Raw genomic sequence first — 19,067 nt, 5'->3', positions numbered from 1 at the left:
CCATAATATAGAGAATTCATACAGGAAGAAAATTCATAAAGAAAAGTCAAAACTCAAAAAGAAAATGGGCAAAGGATAAAAACAACTACAAATGATAGAAATACATGATTAATACTCTTCAAATTTACTATTATAAGAGAAAATAAACATTAGATTATAGCCCACTGCCTACCATATTATATGTCCTCAATAAGGTGTCATTTGTTATGAACTTAAAAACAGTAAGTAACTTTTATATCTAAATAGGAAATATTTTTTAAAAGATGGCTCTCCCGGCCGGGTGTGGTGGCTCACACCTGTAATCCCAGCACTCTGGGAGGCTGAGGTGGGTGGATCACCTGAGGTCAGGAGTTCGCGACCAGCCTGGCCAACATGGCAATACCCCGTCTCTACTAAAAATACAAAATTAGCCGGGTGTAATAGGACACGCCTGTAGTCCCATCTACTTGGGAGGCTGAGGCAGGAGAATCACTTGAACCCGGGAGGCGGACATTGCAGTGAGCCGAGATTGCACCATTGCACTTCAGCCTGGGCGACAGGGCAAGACTCCGTCTCAAAAAAAAAGAAAAAGAAAAAAGAGCTCTCCAGCTTAGCAAAGATAAAATGACATAAGCCTCAGCTGGAAAGAAAAGAGTCATGTAACTTAGTAAAACTCATCAAGAGTCATTAGAAAGTTTAGATATTTGACCCAGAAATCTATTCTAAAGACACAGCAAAACCTAGAACATAGATTTCTGTATATATATGTTCACTGCAGCACTACTTGAAAAGAAAGGCAACTACAAACAACCTAAATGTCCAACAATAATACATATTCCATAATAGATTATTAGGTTATTAAAATGCTTTTAAAAATACTTAAGGCATTAAAATGCTTATAAGTTAATCTGAAAAAAGATTCAAACACATACGTATATATCTGTATAAAATACATACACAAAAAATTCTATAAGAAAACATGTAAAAGTATTAATAATGTTCTACCCTCAATAGCAGGATGACAAATTTTTCTTTGTCCTTTCTATATTTTTCAAATTTTCTTCCATAAGCATGCACTATTTTTATTATACAGGAAAAAGATACTGTCTCTAAGAAAAGTAGGTGATAGGTGCCTGACTATGGCAGAGAATAGAATTACATGCATAAACTGACTAAATATACCAGATCAGGATTCAAAGCTAATTATGAGGTCTAAGGTCTTTGTAACCAGAATGATATAACATAAAACCAGGTTTGGGAATCCAGTGATTCACACTAAAATATGAATGACTGACAGGCAAAACCTTCCTGTATAGAAAGCATCTCTCCTATAAAAGAAAGCGTGGGGGGGGAAGCATTTTAATCTAAAGAAGTTCCCCCCCCCAAATAAGTTTTTGAAAGAGTAGCTAGGGGTGGGGATGGGGGCCTTCCCTGTGGCACATGATTCCCAAATATTTCTAAAAGTTTGTGAATTTCTTGGCAACAGCAGTGGGGGTTGGGACCACACTCTTAGATGCACACACCTGTTCCACTACTTACTTGCTGTTCAGCTTAGGCAAGTTATTTAATTGTTCCATGCCTTAGTATTCTTATAAAATGCAGATAACATCAATCACTGTTTTTTTTTTAAATGAGGAACAAATGAAAATATATGTGAAGGGCTTAGTGCAATGTCTGGCATATAGTAAACTCTCAGTAAGTGAAATATGATATGATTATTCTATATTATTTCATTGCCCATCAGACACAGGGGACAGACTTACAGTGGATAAATCAGAGCGAAGGATAACTGCACTTAGAAACAGAAATGGTATCTCAGCAATCGACTGTTGGCTCAGTGATCACTGTGGGGCACATCAATAACATGATTATGACTAACTAAATTAAGGTGAAAAACTTAGCTATTGCCTACCGGCTTGCAAGTAACTTGCCAGTTACTTAGCTGTGATTAATACAATATCTGTAAGATATTGCAATATATTTAGAAAGCCAATAATAATAAAAATTAAAAAACAAGTCCTTAAGAGAAACATTTACACACACTTTAAAGAATGTGAAACATCCCTTTGGGAAAAAAAGAGGATTTACAATCCTTTGAAGAAGCGATGAGAATATAAGTGCAGAAATGAGAACTATAGTCAAAAAGGCCCATTTTGAGGAAGGATTTATCTGTTCAGCATCTACAAATCTCTTTCTAGAAGATGTGCTTTTATCACTCTACCTCCTGCTTGGAGCCAAGGCTTCATTTTGACAATGCAAGTTCTCTAGAATAAGAGACTGAACAGCAGCAAATCAGGAAAAATAGAAGAAACAACAGCAGTGTTTTTTTTCCAACCCAGTTTTAAAACTCTGGCCCAAGCCTTAGGTTTGAACTTGAGAGTGTTTCCTTTGTCCTTTCTGACATTACTGGCGAAAGAAGGCCCCATGCCCCTATCTCTGTGCTGGACGCCATCCTTAATGATGATATATGCGGGTCCTTTCCCCTCAGCACTGCTGGGGGGTCAAACGTGTGGTGCTACCCACCTGAGAATCAACAAGCAAATTATAAACTATGTCAATCCGAGTTAATGCAAAGCTGTAATCCTCTTTAACAAGAGATCAAATCACTGCCATGAGTTATGTTCATTCTGTAATCTGATAAGGAAGAGAGGGAACCTCTAATAAAAGAGTAATGGGAGCCTTTAATGACGCTGGTAAAAGGTAGCCCCAGTTAAAACATCACTCTTGTTCTTGCTGATTAGATCAATGTTGCATATTTGCCTGGGCTTGTCTCACCTGTCAGAATAACCTGTGTCTTTTTAGGAGATACGAAGCCTCAGAGAAAACATCTGTACTTTAACCATTCTTGCTTGCAAGTTTTTAACCAACAGAAAATGCTCTATGGAGGGTATTTCAGGGGTTATTAGCTGATGTGTTCTCAAATGCTGAGCAAGCTACACCAGAATATCTCACCATGATTCAGTGCATATTCCTATTAAATATAGGTAGGGGGGAGCAAGAAATGGTTTAACTATCTTCTGGGTTACCAACTGGGGGAAAAGAATATCATCAGTAGAGTGGTAGAGTATGCCCATATTTAGGGTGCAGACCCATACACAAAAATGGCAAGCTGAAGATAAATTGCCTGTACAATTTCTATTATACCAGGGCATCTCAAGAACAACGTGGCAGTGATGTTGACAAAGCACTTTACAAGGCTGGATTGCATTTGTACATTTCTTTTCTAAAACTCCAGATGTAAAACAATAATGTATTTGGTGCTCAGTACTTATCATTAAAGGATCCTCTCCTTGTTCTTTTTTTAATGCCAGCAGCTTTATAAAAGGAGTGGGAAAGGTAGTTTTGTATTTTTGGGGAGAGAACAGGGAGCTAAAATTGAAACTCTTGCTGTACATTTTGAGAATTTCTTTAAGTTATTTGCAAAGGAATGGAGTACCTACAAAATGTTAATCTTGCTACCATTTTTGGAATAAGGGGGGGAAATCTATTTAGAAAAATTCAATACCTACACTTTTAACTGACAGTACCAGCATCAAATCTATCTAATATCCTCTCCTTGAAGCAGCATTTAATGCAAGGCAAACACCTATTTTCTTTGGCATGCATCAAGCTGACTGCCATCACCAGACCCTTTCCATCCTGACAGCCAAAACCAATGCCAACAGAGCAGGTTCACATGAATGTCCCTTCCCAAATCTGAGTCAGTGGCCAGTTTTGAGGAACACATCTCTTCCTGTCTCAGGGGTCTCAGTCAGTATTTGTTTGTCTTGTCATACTAGCATTTTACTGACTTACATCCACACAACAAATGACAATTAACTCAGTCTGCCTCAGAGGGTCTGTCAAAAACACAGGCAAAAAGCAGATGCTTATTTCCATAACCCCAAATTCCTTCACTTTGTTAGAACTATAGTGAGAGATCATCTGCATTTATTTTATTTTATTTTCATTTTTGGAATGCTTCTGTATTAGGCCATTCTTGCAGTGCAGTAAAGAAATATTTGAGGCTGGGTAATTTATTGAGACAGGAGGTTTAATTGGCTCACGGTTCTGCAGGCTGTACAGGAAGCATGAACCAGGCATCTGTCCAGCTTCTGATGAGGCCTCTGGAAGCTTACAATCATGGCAGAAGGCGAAGGGGGAGCAGATGCCTCACAAGGCCACAGCAGGAGCAAGAGAGAGAGTGGGGACAGGGGAGAAGCCACACACTGCTAAACAACCAGATCTCTCAAGAACTCACTGTTATGAGGACAGCACCACGGGAATGGTGCTAAACCACTGATGAGAAATCCACCCCCATGATCCAATCACCTCCCACCAGGCCCCACCTCCAACACTGGGGATTACATTTCAACATGAGATTTGGCAGGGATGCCAATCCAAACCGTATCAGCATCCAACACTGGCTTTACTTTTTCTGTATTGATAGATTATATGTGTACTTATTTATGGGGGGCATGTGATATTCTGATATACGCATAGCATGTTTAATGGTCACATCATACTCCCTCTGGTCTAATGGCATGGGGCAGGTGGGATTTCACATTACACAATGTAAGCACTGTTTCTAAAAGGTCCTTGATGAGCTTAGAATAACTTCAATAGAGAAGTGAACAACAGCCCTGCAAATCATGCAAGTAAAGTACTGACCCGCTCTTGCTGGTGATAATATGCTTAGAGGATTCTCTACCAATGAGATGTCAAGCCTTTTCTTCTCCTTAGGCCACTGATAGCTCTGGCTCTACAAAAACAAGTGATCCTTTGCCTCTTAAAGATGACGCTGTCAGCCAGGTATGGTGGCTCACGCCTATAATCCCAGGACTTTGGGAGGCCGAAGCAGGTGGATCATGAGGTCAAGAGATCCAGACCATCCTGGCCAACATGGTGAAACCCCACCTCTATTAAAAATACAAAAATTAGCCAGGGGGTGGGGAGGGGTGGTGGGCGCCTGCAGTCCCAGCTACTCGGGAGGCTGAGGCAGGAGAATCACTTGAACCCAGGAGGCGGAGCTTGCAGTGAGCCGAGATTACCCCACTGCACTACAGCCTGGGTGAGAGAACGAGACTCTGTCTCAAAAAAAAAAAAAAAACAAAAAGATGATGCTGTCCTGGGAGCTGAGCTACCCCGTGTCAAGAGCATCAAGGGTTTAGCAAAGCCAGGGATCATTTTTAGGCTTATGGTAACCTCCTCCCTTGCAAGCAAACACATAATACACGGACAAATTGGGCTTTCTTTTGTTTTCTTTCAATATTGGGAATGCTCATCAGGCATGCAATACAAACCATCTGTAACCTCATACTGGAGAAGAGTATAAGATCTACTAGACCAGCACATAGAAAGTATCAGGGGTTGCATAAGATTTCCACTAACAAAGGAGATCCGAAAGCATTAAATCAATATCCAACATCTACCTAGAAGGAAATGCCCCAAAGGGAAATTTGGTAACAACAGGGACACAACTTGGCTACTTTGCATTTTAAAAGGTTTTTTTTTTTAAAAAAATAGATCGCTTGAAGAGAAAAATTCTTAGCGTGAGAAAAGAATTTGTATCAGCAGAAATTAACTAAATAGATAACACTACTCAGACCACACAACAGGAGAAACAAAATGAAGATGCCACTATCCTTTCAAAGATAGCATTTCTTTCTCCACCAGGATATACCACCAGGATAATATCCTGTGTTAAAGATCTCTCTCTCTCCCTTAATGAGCTACGTTCCAGTTTCAATTTAAGTCAACCAGGGGCAAATTTACTGAGTTCAAACTGGAAAAGGGATATGGGGGGGATTCAAGGATACGCAACTGGACACCCCACCAAAACCACTGAGGATTAATCCAATTTAGGCACGTGTGGAAGGGTAAACTGGAACCAATGAGCAACTAAGGAAAAGAAGAGGGTTTCTACTTCCAGATGTGGGTAAACTAAGAACCATAAGCGGAGGTGCCTCTGGGAACAAGAAGTCAAAAGGGCAGAACATTTTGTTTCATGTATTTTACCACAATTAAAATTAGTGGAGTGTGGTGGTGTGCATCTGTTAGTCCCAGCTACTCAAGAGGCTGAGGTGGGAGGATGGCCTGAGCCCAGGAATTGGAGGTTGCAGGGAGCTATGATTGCACCACTGCATTCCTGCCCAGAAAATACAGTGAGACCCTGTCTCAAGAAAAAAAAAATAATAAATTCATTGAATGATTTTACTGTGATTATTTAGTTTGGGTCATTTGGATTTTTTATTTTTCTACAAACAATACTGCAATAAAGATCCTTAACACAAATGTATTTGGCAACTATTAAAGACTATCTCCTACAAGTAGATTTTTCTGTGTTAACAGACACATTTAAAAGTCAGAAACAGGGCCAGGCATGGTGGCTCACGCCAGTAATCCTAGCACTTTGGGAGGCCGAGGCAGGTAAATCACCTGAGGTCAGACTGACCAATGGGAGGCTGAGGCAGGAGAATTGCTGAACCTAGGAGGTGGAGATTGCAGTGAGCCAAGATTGCACCACTGCACTCTTGCCTGGGCAACAGAGCAAGACTCCATCTCAAAAAAAAAAAAAAAGTTGGAAACACAATGTCAAATAATCCTCCCAAAAGATTTTGCCAATTACATTTCCAAAAACAGTATGCAAAGGTGCATTTTTCCTTACACCATCAACACTGGGTATTACTAATCCTTTTAATATTTTCCAACTGAATAAGGACAACAAAAAGGAGGGCGTGTGTGCATGGTGGTGCACGCCTGTAGTCCCAGCTACTCGGGAGGCTGAGGCAGGAGAATCGCTTGAACCCAGGAGGCGGAGGTTGCAGTGAGCCCAAATAGTGCCATGGCTCTCCAGCCTGGGTGACAGAGCAAAACTCTGTCTCAAAAAAAAATAATAAAAAGAAATCTCATTATATTAATTTGCATTTCTTTGATTAGGTTGAAAGTGCTTATGGTTTTTGGCCCTTGAAATTTTTCTTTTTTGATTTTTTTTTTTTAAATGGAGTCTCATTCTGTCGCCCAGGCTGGAGTGCAGTGGCACGATCTCGGCTCACTGCAAGCTCCGCCTCCTGGGTTCACGCCATTCTCCTGCCTCAGCCTCCCAGTAGCTGGGACTACAGGCGCCCACCACCACGCCCGGCTAATTTTTTGTATTTTTAGTAGAAAAGGGGTTTCACCGTGTTAGCCAGGATGGTCTTGATCTCCTGACCTCGTGATCCGCCCGCCTCAGCCTCCCAAAGTGCTGGGATTACAGGTGTGAGCCACTGTGCCCGACCTTCTTTTTTGATTTTTAAGTCTTCTTGTTGATATGCTGTGTCCATTATTGTTATTGGGATATTCTTAGACATTTGTAAAAACTCTTTACATAGTAGAAAAATATGTCATCTGCTGGAATTTTTTTGTTCAAGTTCATCATTTACCTATTAACTTTGTTTTTGATGTCTTTTTCAATGTGACTTTTATGTAGTCAGGTCTATTAATATTTTACCTTTTAGTTTCTGGCCCTGTGGTCATTCTTATAAAGTCCTTCACTACCTTGAAATCAGTTTAAAAAATTCTCTATGCCCCCGGCACACCAAGAATGACATATGTATAACTTAGGAAAACCAAAAGTATTTACTTGAGGAAAAGTAGCATGCAGTGATATTGATATTCTAACAATTATGAAAGCTTCCTATTTGTGGTGTACAAATGGGACACAAAATAGAATGGTACTAGGTTACTTCCACTTTTGTTTTTCCACTAAAAAAAAACAAAGGAGGATAAGCTATTACTACTTCCTTCTTACTTAAGATAAAGTTAACAATACCTACTGGCCCTAAAAATTTTGATACTAGGAGAGAGAGCTAGTTCCTATTTACTGTACCCATAGTTAATCTGGCCTATTCAAACCATAAAGCTTGAGCAGTTGATATGGACACGTCTCCCTATCCTTAGGAAACACAATGAGAATGGTGCGCACTTTGGTAAAAACAAATGTTCAGTTCTCCAGCTACAAGACTATTATTCCATTCCTTAAGTAGCTAAACCAGCTGGAGAACAATGCTGGTAATTAGGAATCAGTCCACAAGGGATAGCCCTTTCTCCTTATAAATGTCACAAGGACTGTCACCCAGCAAACACATTCCTAACCCCTTCTCCCTTGCTTGCTCTACCTGGAGTGGCAACATAACACAGTTCTGGCCAATGAAATACAAAAAGTTTGCTGAAGGGAATTCTGGGGAAGGTTTTACTTTTCTGATTAAAAACAAACAGGTATGGCTGGCACAGTTCTTTCCTCTTCTTCCTGCCTTGAATGCATGTTTGATGGCGTTAAGTTGCAACAGCCATCTTGGGACCACAGGGGAAAGACCAAGAGATGTTGGCCCTAACACCACCGAGAAGCAAAAGCCATGGACAACAATTGCCTACCACCCCTAGAATTATCCTGTCACAAAGATGAACTTCCATTTCCTTATGCCTCTGTAGTCAGGTTTTATATTTTTTATAGGCCATACCCAAATTAATCCTAATAGAGTCATTTTCAAATAATTTTTATGTCTAGCAAATAGTAGACCTTCAAAAATTAGGAGTTAATATTGGTAAGATTCTGGAAAAACTAAGTACACCTCAAGGGATTCAAGTAAAATTCCAACTAAGAATGGCATAAAGTTGATTTCTGAATGATTTCATAGTACTATGATCAAAAGATACCACTAATATCTAAACTAGATTTCATTTTATGCCTGGGATAATAACGTAACCTTAAAGGGTTTGGTTTAATTTTCAAAATCTAGTTTTGCTTTCTTCTTGATATAATTTTTTCACAGCATCCTGACAGGGAATCTAAGATGCACTCACTTTACTCTGCAATTTTTAAACAGACTGGATCCAGAAATGAACAAAAAACCATGGCCATATCTAGACATTCACTTGCAAAGCACAGGATAGCAGATGTGGTCACAAAGCCAGACACAAATGTACTCAGAACCATCCATAGGCTGTTTTGTGCTCAAAGTACTGAATAAACCAAATAAAAAATAATAATAGTATTTGTCAAAATTTGCAGATCTCATACTTTCAGACAAGGAGGGGAAAATCTGATGGCATTTGGTAGCAAACAAAATACTCTAAAATAAAAAGTTTATATGTAGTTTGAGGGATAAAACTGGCAAAAACCACCTGTGCCTATGTTATGACCAATAATTTCACTTGGTAAATATGTTTAAAAATGCTTCTCATAGCATTATTTACAATGATGACAATTAAAAGCCATTTAAATGTCCAACAATCAGTGAATGGCTAAATAAATATTATAACAATATTATTTCGTCATTGAAAAATTTTAATTATTTTAACGACATGAAAATGCTCTCAGTATATAAAACATTTCCTGAATATAATTTCAATATAAAAAAGAAAAACAGGAAAATACTGAAAGGGAACTTACAAAAACTGAAATGAAATGCTGTAAGATGTTAAAAGTGGCTGTCTTCTGTGTAGGTGTGAGTGTATATACATACACTTCCCGTCTCTGCTGACAGGTCTAGAAATAGCAATACTCACTAACAAGGAGCACCCCTAGTACCTAGATCTTGGTTTCTAAATACCACAATCCACTAAACAGAGCCAGGGCTCCTTCAAGAAAGACTGATTTCAGGGCTGGAAGATGGAAAGTCTAAGATGAGCATTAAACATCTTCTTGTGCCAGAAAGTAAGGAAGTACTCAAAGATTGACTGAAGACAACTTTGAAGGACACAAGCCAGTTTGACGGCACTTCCACTATCTGGGACAATTTTAATATCAAAATAAACATAACTCATTGAATAAAATAGGAAAACATGAGTCCATATTGATATAAATGAATAAATAAATGGTAAATAAATGAGGGAGAAGAGGAAGCTCTTCATTATAGAATGCCAATTAATAGATACAGAAGAAACTATTATTTTAAAAAGGTTATCCCTGAACGGTAATATTATGAGCATACACTTTTTTTCTGTATTTCTCTCGTTTCAGCTTTATAAAATAAGCATATACATCTTTTGTAAAAACACTCACAATCCCCAACAAATACAACATATGCACATCTCCAGAGCACTCACTAGAGCCACTTTCAAAAGGAAAGCATATGCACAACAGCCCCAAGTACAAACGGCAAGAACATGGGCCACCTGCCCTGTCCTAGAGAGCTCACATGTCCCAGGGCGCTGGGCTAAAGTTCAAAACAAAACAGGAAAAACAAACAAACCACCAAAGGCAGCACTGAAATTTATGCAAGTTTTTGGTTTGGTTTTATAGTAATTATGAGGGTGAAGAGATGTGACCCTTACTGCGATGCCAATGACAAATGGTTAACTGATAAGAAGAAATGGAGAGGGCGAAGGCTGTAGAGCAGGTCAATATCAGGCTGTCATGAAGCCATTTGAGACACATAATTAATCTATTACTCACCTGGCATCATCATTCATTGTAGTATGGTCAATAGGTGCCATGAAACTCAGTAGCTTGCTAAGGACATGAAACCTAAATAAAGCAGGAAGCAACAGGCAGCAACATTAGTAACTATTAACCTAGGAGAGGAAACACATTCAGTGAGTTAACAAACTCCAGAACTGATCACTGGAACATCTGGGTACAAAGTGGGATAGGGAAAAATTCATAGGCACTTACCACTGTCATTGGGATGACCAACTACAGTCATCCCATGGTATCTGTGGAGGAATGGTTCCAGGACTCTCTATGGATACAAAAATCCACGGATGCTCAAGTTCCTTATATAAAATGGCATAGTATTTGCATGTAATCTACACACATGCTCCCATATACTTAATTCATCTCTAGATTACTTAAAATACTTAATGCAATGTAAATGCTACGTAAATAGTTGTACAATGTATTGTTCAGGGAATAATGACGAGAAAAAAGTCTGCACTTGTTCACAGGTACAGACATTCCTTTCCCCATGCCTGAATATTTTCAATCTGTGGTTGGTTGAATCCACTGATGTGGAACTCACAAATATGTAGGGCTGACTGTACATTTTTCCCTTTTTCCCTAATGCTACAGGAGAAAAGTCTGATAACAGTATACTGTAAATGACAGTTCAACACAGATTCATTTATAGTACAGCCCCAAAAAAGAACAGGTACACTTGTGCTTTTGAGCAATATACAACCCTTAAACATTATTCCAGACTAAAGACAATGAGGAATTGACTACCTCATTTTCTTCCTCTACATATATCTTAAGCATTTTTCATTTTAATAGATGTCACAAAAGCCATCTACTGGCAGCAGCACAGGTAGTGGTACAGTATCTGAATGCAACACCTCACCAACACCACACACACTGCCACTGGTTCCCCAAGGCAGAAAAGGGGTCTGCAATTCCACGTCATCTCCATGCACTAGATCCAGGGGGTCTTTCATTTCCCCCACCTTTAAATGGAGAAACACAACTGAATTCACAGTAAGTTTGATTCCTAGATCTTCAGTCTAGGTACTATGGAAGTTTAAGTTATATCACCTACATTTCCCACCAAATGGAAAAAAAAATATTTTGTATGATGTGTTTGAGATGCTCTAGAAAATATATGACCTTATACAGACCAAATCATACCAAAGATAATTCAAAGGGGTATCCTTTTCTACTCATTATAATGTGCCCTCTCTATATACATAAAATAAAATTCTAACCCAAAAAACTCTACTAGGGCAAAACACTATCCATAAAACAAAATGTGGTATTTTCATGTATTTAATACATAATATTTTAAAGTTTTAGGAACATTTTTACACATATCAAATAATTTAATTATTTATTATATCACCCACAGCTCAGCCTCCCAAAGGTAATTCTTTATCTCAACAAATGAATTTTACAAGAATAATACTGGTTAAGATTTTTCCTATTATACAAGTAATAGAGGCAGGGTGTGGTGGCTCATGCCTGTAATCTCAGCACTTGGGGAGGCTGAGGCAGAAGGATTGCTTGAGACTAGGAGTTCAAAACTAGCCTGGACAACATAGTAAGACCCTGTCTATACCCCCACACCAACCCAGAAAAAAAGTAATACAAAAGGTATAAAATACAGAAAATTGAAAAAAAACCAAACCACACAGAAAACACATACAGTTGGCCTGGCGCAGTGGCTCATGCCTATAACCTGAGCACTTTGAGAGGCCAGGCAGAAGATCACCTGAGCCCAGGAGTTCAAGACCAGCCTGGGCAACATAGCAAGACCCCGTCTCTACAAAAAGTAAAAACAACTGGCCAGGCACGGTGGCTCACACCTGTAATCCCAGCACTTTGGGAGGCTGAGGGGGGGCAGATCACCTGAGGTCAGGAGTTCAAGACCAGCCTGGCCAACATGTTGAAACCCCATCTCTACTAAAAATACAAAAATTAGCCAGGTGTGGTGGCACATGCCTGTAATCCCAGTAAATAGGGAGGCTGAGGCAGGAGAAACCCTTGAACCCGGGAGATGGAGGATGCAGTGAATCGAGATTATGTCACTGCACTCCAGCCTGGGCGACAGAGAGATTTTGTTTCAAAAATAAAACAAACAAAAACCAAAAAGTAAAAAAACTGGCTGGGTGCAGTGGCTCACGCCTGTAATCCCAACACTTTAGAAGCCTGAGGCGGGTGGATCACCTGAGGTCAGGAGTTTAAGACCAGCCTGGCCTGCTAACACGGCAAAACCCTCTCTCTACTAAAAATACAAAAATTAGCCGGGCGTGGTGGTGTGTGCCTGTAATCCCAGCTACTCGGGAGGCTGAGGGAGGAGAATTGCTTGAACTCAGGAGGCAGAGGGTGCAGTGAGCCGAGATCAGGCCACTGCACTCCAGCCTGGGTGACAGAGCAAGACTCTGTCTCAAAAAAATAAATAAGTAAAATAAAAAAGTAAGAAAACTAGCCAGGCACGGTGGCATGTGCCTGTAGTCCCAGCTACTCGGGAGGCTGAGGTGGAAGGATTGCTTAAGCCTAGGAGGTTGAGACTGCAGTGAGCCCTCCGGTCTGGGCTTTGTAGCTCAGGCTGGAGTGCAGTGGTGTGATCATGGCTCACTACAGAGTATGAGCTTATCTAAAAAACAAACAAACAAAAAATCCCACACACAATCCTTCTACCTATAGACAATTGTTGTTACGTTTGTTTCACATAATGATCCTTATATATATATATATTCACACAATTTTGAATGAATTCTTTTCTCACCTAGCCTTATAAGCAATGTCCCATAAACAATTTATAAATAGCTGCATATAACCGTAGGAACAGAAGTACCCTATTTTCATATTTTTGAACACATACATTGCTTCTAATTCTTCACTTTTTGTTGCTGTTGTTGTTGTTGAGACAGGGTCTCACTGTCACCCAGGCTGGAATGGAGTGGTGCTATCTCGGCTCACTGCAACCTCTGACTCGCAGGTTCAGGCCATCCTCTCACCTCAGCCTCCTGAGTAGCTGGAACTACAGGAGTGTACCACCATGCCCAGCTAATATGTGTATTTTTAGTAGAGATGGGGTTTCACTATGTTGCCCAGGCTGGTCTAGAACTCCTGGACTTGAGTGATCCACCTGTGTTGGCCTCCAAAAGTGCTCGGATTACAGGCGTGAGCCACCATGCCCAGTCTAATTCTTCACTTTTTATAAAAAAGGCCTCTATGTATCCTTGTTTTTTTGTTGGTGATGTTTTGTTTTTTTGAGATAGGGTCTTGCTTTGTTGCTCAGGCTGGAGTGCAGTGTGCGATCACGGCTCACTACAGCCTTGACCTCCCAGGCTCAAGCCATCCCCCCACCTCTGCCTCCCAGCCCCGACCACCACCAAGGAGCTGGGACTAGAGGTGTGCGCCACCATGCCTGGCTAATTTTTAAATTTTTTTTTTTGGTAGAGAGAGGGTCTTGCTATGTTGTCCAGGCTGGTCTCAAATTCCTAAATTCAAGTGATCCTCCCACCTCAGTCTCCCAAAGTGCTGGAATTACAAGCATAAGCCACTGAGCCTGGCCAATACATAACTCTTAGATGTGAAATTGCTGAGTTGAAAGGTATGTATATGTAAACTTGACTGAGTCAAAATGCCTTCCCAAAAGTTATGTCAATGTATGAGCATAAATATTTATATAACCTTTTTATTTAAATATAAACCAAAAATACTGTTAATTAAATATATCTTTTAATGTCCTTAGGCCTCACTAAACTTCAGTGTCCATCTGAAAGTATGATTACTATTCTTGGCTGTGTCCAGAGACGGCTTTAATTCACTTTCTGGACAAAGACTATGAACTGTACCCTACAGTTGTGTTATGCAATACAGTAGCTACTAGCCACACGTGGTTACTGTGCATTTGAAATGGGGCTAGTCTGAATTGAGATGTACTGTAATTAAGTATAATATACAAACGAGATTCTGAAGACTTGGGACAAAAAAAATACATATCACTAATAATTCTTAAAATAGTAAATTGTTGAAATAATATTTTTATATATTGGGTTAAATGAAATGTCACTAAAATTAAGTTCATCTTTTTCTTTTTACTTTTTCAATGTCGCTACTAGAACATTTAAAATTGCATATATAATACATATTAATATTTTTATTAGATGGTACTGCTCTGTAGAATATCTTTACATTTAATACAATATAGTTAATAACTATTAACTACATGATGAAATACAGGCTTTAGGAAGAAATCAGATTAAAGACCATTTAGTAATCTGTACTTAGCATCTAGTCTCGGTGCCACTGCAAATGGGTGTATGTTTTAATATTAAATCATCTTTTACCAACCATACTAAGAAAAGACAAATATTATTTTGTTGTGGAAGAACAGACCAACACAGTAAGACGTCATATTATTAAAGGCTTGGGAGTTTGATCCATTTACATTATGATTTCTGATTAAATCATAACTAAATCCACTTATATGTAATGCTGAGTAGAATACTGACAATCAATAATTATAATTACTGTATTTCCAAAAACCAAAATATTTGTTTTTTTAAAAAACGTTATTTTCTAGCATCCAATTAGCAAGTCTGACCAGGCTGTACCATTTAAACTAATGAAGTGTTATTATTTAAACTGTTTCCAGAAGGTAATGTTAATCTTTGCTACAACATTTCTGGAAGTCTTACATATACAACCCTATCACAAACAAGGAGCAAAAATTGCTCAATGGTGGGACCTAGTATCAGTGATGACAGCTGGCATACACTGTCTGTTCTTGAAGTTTAACTCAAGAAAGTTGTTTATAATATTCTCATCTAGCCTGGGGGGCCACTTGGTTTAACCCCTTAGGAAAGGATGCTAAGGTGGCCAAGATGTCATTCTGGTGCCTGTATAGGGTTGGTCCTGCCAGTGAAACAACTCAAGATCCAGAGATTAGAAGAACAGGCTCTGGAATCAGACCAATTAGTTCAAATCCCAGTTTGCTACTTACTATGTAACACTGGGGATGTTACATCACATGAATTAGCTCATTTAGTCTGCATAACCACCCTATAAAATTGTCACTTCTATGATTATACTCCTTTCACAGATGAGGAAATTGAAGCACAGAGATGTAAAGTAATTTGTTCAAAGTCTCAAGGCCGGGAAATGGAAAAGTCAGCTTTCAAACCTAGGCAGTTTGGCTCCAGAGCTTATGCTCTTTCTGCCTCCGCATGTAAACTGATTAGCAGTGCCTGACCTGGGATTTCTGGAGATGTTAGTTCTTACGCTATTGCTATGAGTAAAGACTACTCTCTGATTCTGACCACATCCTCACATTTATGGTCTCAAGATGAGCCAGGTGAGTACAGATGACAAAACCAAAACCAATTCAACACACATGAACTTACATTAAAAACTTTTTGTTCTGTAATAATTTTGGGCTTCTAAGACCCCACATTACACCTTGCTGTGATGTCTCCTTAGTCTCCTGCAATCTGTGACAGTTCCTCAGTCCTTGTTTTATCATTACTTTGACACTTGATGAGTACTGGTCATTTATTTGGTAGAGTGTCTCACAATGTGGATTTGTATGCTGTTTTATGATGAGATTAAGGTTAGGCATTTTTTTGCAAGAATACCACAGAAATGATGTTGTATCTTTCTACTGAAGACACAGGGGGTATAGATATGTCTTTTTACTGGTGCTGTTCATCTTGAACACTTGGTTAAGGTGGCATCTGCTAGATTATTGCAAAGCCACTATGTTTCTCTTTGTAATGGACAAATATCTTGGGGGAGATACTTAGAGACCAAATAAATACAGTTTCTCCTCAAATTTTTGCCCATTGATTTTAGCATCTATTGTGGACCTTGCCTGCAAAAATTATTACTGTGGGGCTTCCCTAGTGGTGGTTTTCTATTTCTCTCATTCCCTTTACAACTGGATTCCAAAAGGCTTTTATGAAACAAACTAATCAAGATAGTAAAAGTTTACACAGAAATTCTAGAGGCCTTTCAAGTATGGAAAGTTTTAGTTTGCAGTTTCTGGAACTCTTCAGTAACCAAAGGCATTTCATGTGAAGAAATGTGATCACAAATGAAACGATGCTGCCCTTTTGTGATTTCTCTGAGGCACCAGGCGCTCCTGACCCCTTACTAAACACTGTCCTGTATTCATCGCTGTCGTAACCTCCTCCTGCCCTCCCCCGTCAATGGCCACTGTTCCTCAGCATTCTTTATGGGCTCCTCTTACTCTAGCTCACGTATGTTGACATTCTTCAGGATTCTACTCTTGTCACTCTGTATTCTTGTCACACCGTACCCTCCCTGGGTAAACAGCAATTAAACTGTTGCCAAACTATCAACTAATAAATACCCACATCCTCCTCTCGACTGAAAAATATCTCAACTTGGATTTCTGAAGGTTGTGTCAAACTTCAACATATTCAGAAACTGAATCCACTCCCTCCCTCAAAAAACAACAACAAAAAAGATGTTCTCCTTGCAGCCTCTCTCTTATACATATCAATGATTACTACCAAGACCTATCTAGTTCCCTGAAACTCTGGGAGTCATTCCAACCTTCTCACTTTCCTTTACCTCTTCATGTGTGGCCACTCTTAAGTAAGAACTACTCACCTGTATAAATGTCTCTCAATCCGTCATCTCCTATTCCTTCCAGGCCTTGCTCTCATAACTTTCTAGTCCTTTATAGAAAATCTCCTACAATTATCTTTTTTTTTTTGAGACAGGGTCTCGCTCTGTGACTCAGGCTGGAGTGCAGTGGCATGATCTCCGCTCACTGAAACCTCTGCCTCTCTGGTTCAAACGATTCTCCCGCCTCAGCCTCCCGAGTAGCTGGGACTACAGGCACATGCTACCATACCTGGCTAATTTTTGTATTTTTAGTAGAGACGGGGTTTCACCATGTTGGCCAGGCTTGTCTCAAACTTCTGACCTCAAGCCATCCACCTGCCTCAGCCTCCCAAAGTGCTGGGATTACAGGTGTGAGCCACTGTGCCCAGCCAATTATCTTTCTGAAATGTGCATGTGATGACAATATTCCTCTGCCTAAAATCTTTCAATGACTCACTACAGTCTACAGAATAAAGTCCAAAATTCTTAACGTGGTCATGATCTAGCACTCACCCATGCATGCAGCCTTATCTCCTGCCATTCTCTCATATTCACTTTTGGTGCTGGTATAGGCCAGTTGGCCAGTGAAACAACTCAACAGCCAGAGGTTAAAAGAACAGGCTCTGGAATCAGACCAATTAGTTCAAATTCCAGTTTGCTACAAAAGTCTCTGCCAAAACAAATTAATTACAGTTCCCAAAATGGGTCCCAGACTCTCTCAAGCTTACAAACCTTTTTGTACACATTCTCTTTGTCTTTCACTGGGCAAACGCCTACTAATCTCTCAAGGCTCAGTGAGGAAGTCGTCTTGTGCAAGTCTTCCTGAGCAGTCTGCATCCCTCAAGGGTGGAGCAGGATTATTTCTACTGCTACACCTCCCACACAGCACCTCAGTCGGCTAGGGTCTGCCATCCTCTCCAGACTAGTTGGCTCTCTGATGCTGTGGGTTCAGCATCCACAGATTTAATCAACCATGGATCAAAAATACTTAAGACATAAATGATTGTGTCTATATTGAATATGTCCCAATTTTTTTTCTTATTATTCTAAACAGTGTAGTGTAATAATTATTTACATGGCGTTCATATTGAACTAGGTATTATAAGTAATCTAGAGATGATTTAAAGTATAGGGAGGATGTGTGTAGGTTATATGCAAATACTATGCCACTTTATATAAGGAACTTGAGCATTGTGGATTTTGGTTTCTGCAGGGGTGGGGGTGTGGGGCTGTTTGTGCGTCCTGGAACCAATCCTCCACAGATAGCACAAATGACTGTGTATGCTCCCTGAGGGCAGACTGGGTCTTAACTACCACCTAATGACCATCTTCTTAGAAGGTGAAGGACACTAAAACCACTTACTATGTTTTCATGTTTAACTCTGTTTAAAAAGAATGCCTCTTTTTAAACTCTGTTTAAAAAGAATGCCTCTTTTTAAACTCTGTTTAAAAAGAATGCCTCTTTTTAAACTCTGTTTAAAAAGAATGCCTCTTTTTAAACTCTGTTTAAAAAGAATGCCTCTTTTTAAACTCTGTTTAAAAAGAATGCCTCTTTTTAAACTCTGTTTAAAAAGAATAAGATTTTACTGCCTCTGGATATGAGAATGTGGGGATCTCCACTGCTATCAAAATGCTGCAAAAGCAAAGGTATCTAATTGCATTGACACATACCTGTAATGAACAGTTTAATGAAGCTAGTTGAATTCATTAATATAAAAAGCAGTTGCTATTAAAACAAAATCCTGGTTTTTTCTTTTCAAACTGATATATTGAACATTTTTGAATGCCTACTATGTACCAGATATTTACACATGATTTCATTTAATTCCCATACCAAATCCCCAAAGCAGGGATTATTACCTCCACTTAGTAAATGAGAAAAGTGAGGCCCAGAGAATAAAGAACAACCAAAATCATATCACCAGACAGAGTCAGGGTTTGAACGCAAGTCTTGTGATTTGAAATCCTAAGCTCTTCCTTCTAGAGAACATTTATGTCCTCATAAAATTACAATTTTAAAAGTACAGTATTGGAGAAAAATTTGATCCCAAAAATA

The 19,067-nt window shown here is 39.3% G+C and overlaps 1 protein-coding gene and 1 non-coding gene across 3 annotated transcripts in view; both read right to left on the bottom strand.

Annotated features, from left to right (window-relative positions):
• The window catches only part of AATF (apoptosis antagonizing transcription factor), a 107,918-nt gene that overhangs the window by 14,793 nt on the left and 74,058 nt on the right, over positions 1–19,067 (bottom strand). Inside the window, exon 11 of one of the 2 annotated variants that reach the window (NM_012138.4) lies at positions 10,394–10,465. The exons of the other annotated variant lie outside the window; for it this stretch is intronic. Coding sequence (NP_036270.1) covers positions 10,394–10,465 — 72 coding nt within the window. The remainder of the gene's footprint in view (positions 1–10,393; positions 10,466–19,067) is intronic. 2 annotated transcript variants of the gene reach the window in all.
• MIR2909 (microRNA 2909) lies at positions 8,266–8,334 on the bottom strand. Its single transcript, NR_036056.1, has one exon. It is a non-coding gene; the product is annotated as a microRNA 2909 (primary transcript).

The sequence above is a fragment of the Homo sapiens genome, chromosome 17, assembly GCF_000001405.40.
Source record: "Homo sapiens chromosome 17, GRCh38.p14 Primary Assembly".
Lineage (NCBI taxonomy): Eukaryota > Metazoa > Chordata > Mammalia > Primates > Hominidae > Homo > Homo sapiens.
This window is presented reverse-complemented; position numbering and strand designations above follow the sequence as displayed.